Source organism: Homo sapiens, chromosome 10, assembly GCF_000001405.40.
Source record: "Homo sapiens chromosome 10, GRCh38.p14 Primary Assembly".
Classification (NCBI taxonomy): Eukaryota; Metazoa; Chordata; class Mammalia; order Primates; family Hominidae; genus Homo; species Homo sapiens.
The window spans coordinates 102,071,486-102,075,194 of record NC_000010.11 but is presented as its reverse complement, the minus strand read 5'-3'; positions in this window follow the sequence as shown (position 1 = coordinate 102,075,194).

Here is a 3,709-nt window from a genome sequence, read left to right as displayed (position 1 = left end):
CATTTCCATCTCTTCTTCCCAAGCAACTCTTTTTTTTTTTTTTGAGATGGAGTCTCGCTCTGTCGCCCAGACTGGAGTGCAGTGGCACGATCTCGGCTCACTGCAGGCTCCGCCTCCTGGGTTCAGGCCATTCTTCTGCCTCAGCCTCCCAAGTAGCTGGGACTACAGGCGCCCACCAACACGCCTGGCTAATTTTTGTATTTTTAGTAGAGATGGGGTTTCACCGTGTTAGCCAGGATGGTCTCCATCTCCTGACCTCATGATCCACCTGCCTCGGCCTCCCAAAGTGCTGGGATTACAGGTGTGAGCCACCACGCCTGGCTGCAATCCTTTCTTTATTCCCAGAAAAGCCACATTATGTCCTTCCCTTTCCCAATATTCACAGGGGAGACCTACTCACTAGGGAATTCACTATGGTCTGACCAGTATGGTGGAGGGAAGAAGTGGTTGCTGATGTGTCCCTCCCCACTCCTTAGGCTCCCTGTAAATTCCATACCCCACACTGACCCTCCACTATCCCAAAGAAGCTATGAGAACAACGAGCTTATCTAGTCAGTCATAAGCAGTCACTTGATTTCCCATCTGGACAACTATCTCAGTGATACCTAGATCAGCATCCCCCCTGCCCTGTCCTAGGACCTGGCCTAGGATCTCTGTGTCCCCCTGACCCAATACCTCCCCTCAGTCTACCCTTCCTTCCCTTTCTCTACTGTGGCTCCCAATAGCCTTCCCACCCCAGCAACAGGGCTCTGTAGGAAAGGCCTGCCCCTCAATTCTGAGGCTCCGGGCTGTTCCTAGAGCTTGCCTGGGGCTGTTAGGGATAAGGGCAATGCCCACCTTCCCTACTTTTCTCCAGAATAAAACAAAAATAATAGAATTTGAGATGACTGCATATCACCTTGGAATCCAAATGGCTGCCAAAGCCTGAGGACCTGAAATCTATGTAAAGCCTGAACAGTTTGCTCCTCCAGGGCCTCCAGGAGGCCCAGGATGAGATGGGTCTTCCACTTTCTTGGTGGAGGTCACCATTCCCCTTTCCTCAGCCAATCACAGCTCCTTCCCTTTTCCTCTATTCTCTAGATAATGGAAACTTCTGGAAGACCAGATCTAGCTCAGCTGCCCCATTGGCTTTATGCATTGGCCATAATTCTGGTGACAGGCCCCAAAGGACCTTCTCTCTGTGCCTTCCTTCATCCTCCCAGCATTCATACCTGAGAGCCTCCTCTGCTCCCCAGAGTGAGCAAATGTCCCTGTTTCTCCCTCCTAGGCCCCTCTCCCCATGCCCATCTGTTGTCTCTCCTTTTCATTCTCTGCATCCAGTCCAGCCCCATCTTCTTCCTCATCTCTCTGATTCTGTCTCTCCTCGCCTTTGTTCTTGCTCCTGTCCTGTCTTGCTCTTGTGCAGAGACCTTCAGAGCCAGGCCCAGGCCCTCTGTTTGGGAATTACAGGAGAAAGCACTCTAAGTCTTCTATCCACCACTGGGAGTGACCCTAGGCACTCAGTCCTGACCTCACAGCCCGATTCATTCTCTCTCCCCACCTGAATTTTTATTTAAAGCAGAAATGGGAACCCATGCAGTAATAGTGTAAGCAAAGCTTATAATTCTCATGGTCTGTGAGCCCTGAAATTGTGATTCTGGAAAATATTTTTATTGGGGGGGCTCACCTCTATTTCACATTTCGTGCATTAAGTGAGACTTTATTTATTTTGAAAAAGTCCCAGCATCTTCCTGTACTTCAAATTCATATAAAATGTGAACTTGCTATGCCCTCCCAGGAAACTCTGCTGTGTGCCCTCAACTTCCTCCCCAGTTGGACCAAATTATCTAAGTCAGGTTGGTAGCTGGAATAGACTTCCAATCCTGGAGACGAAGAATCCTGCCAGCCCAGGTCCCCTTTCTTCTGGGTGATAACCATCCTAGTACAAGTCCAGGGCCCTTTCCCTTCTCCATAATTCTGTTCCTTGAATCTCTCCTTCCCTCTTCTCCTCTCTTGCTCTAAGAGAAGCTCCATTTACTACATCCAGAGGCTTCCTCAGTTCTTAGTTAAAAATGGGCAAGTGTGCATGTTTGAGGGCAATGGGTGGAGTTGGCAGTGACAAGAGTAACCACCAGGGGGAGCCTGTGCCTAAGAAGAGACTGAGGTGGCATAGTGGAGCCACTCAGGACTTTTTCCCCTTCATTCTGGGGCAGTAAGGCTGCCAAGCATTCCAGCCCAGGGTGGCTCCTTATAGACCTGGGAATCTAGAGCTCCTTCCTCCCCCCTTTCTGGCTCTCCTCTTTTCCTGATTACCCGGGTCAGTGTGAACCAAACTGCTACATCTACACAATGTGAACACTTCCTAAGGACAGGTTAGGAAGAACATGGCCCCTGGAGGGCCTTATTATTTATTTATTTATTTATTTATTTAGACAGGGTCTCACTCTATTACTGGAGTGCAGTAGTGTGATCACAGCTCACTGCAGCCTGGACCTCCTGGGCTCAAGCAATCCTCCCACCTCAACCTCCCGAGAAGCTGGGACGACAGGCGTGTGCCACCATACCTGGCTAATTTTTTTGTTTTTTTGTAGAGACAGGATTTTGCCATGTTGCCCAGGCTGGTTTTGAACTCCTGGGCTCAATCTATTTGCCTGCCTCAGCCTCCCAAAGTGCTGGGATTATAGGCGTGAGCCACAGTGCCCAGCCTGGATGGCCATATTCAACGTAGGGATCGATCTTCCAGACCTTTGACCTCAACCCACAATTTCCACTAGCCCCTGTCACCAGTCTCTTCCTTGGAACCTCATTGACTCAGGCTTTCCTATCCCTTCTCAAACTCTCCTGGTTTGGGGATCGGGGGCACTGGGTAGTACCAGTTATGTCCATTGCTTTCACCTCCACCTCAACTCCCAAGATGGTCCGAGCTCAGTGGCTTCTTCACCCCTGCCACTGTCCTTGGTGGCTAGGTTCTGCCTTCAGATCCACCTGACTTACTGCCATCAATTTCAGGGCTGGATCAACCAAAGAGTCAGTCTGGCTTATGAAAAGAAAGGAAGAGAGCCAGAGAATCTCTACAGGCCAGAGCTTAATCCCTTCTTTTCACCCCAGGTCATAGGGCCTTGTCAGTTCCTGCATTCACAATAATAATTAGGCTGGTCGCAGTGGCTCACACCTGTAATCCCAGCACTCTGGGAGGCCGAGGCAGGCAGATCACCTGAGGTCAGGAGTTCGAGACCAGCCTGACCAACATGGAGAAACCCCGTCTCTACTAAAAATACAAAATTAGCCAGGCATGGTTGTGCATGAGTGTAATCCCAGCTACTTGGGAGGCTGAGGCAGGAGAATCGCTTGAACCCGGGAGGCAGAGGTTGCGACGAGCCAAGATCACACCATTGCCCTCCAGCCTGGGTAACAAAAGCAAAACTCTGTCTCAAAAATAATAATAATAACAATAATAATTAAACCTACTATGAACCTGGCACTGTGATACATGCTGAGGATACCAAAATACAAATAACCATGGTCTGTGTCTTCAAGGGACTTGTATACTAATCAGGGAAATGAACAAATAACTAGGCAATCACAGTATAAAAAAAGAGAAGACTGGAAGAGAAGACTGGAGAGGCAGGGCCAGACACAAAGGAAGGGATGGCTTTCTTAGGAGTTTGGCCTTTACCCTGAATGTTGGGGTAGGTGATGAACTTGATCAGATTTGCTGTAGTATACAATA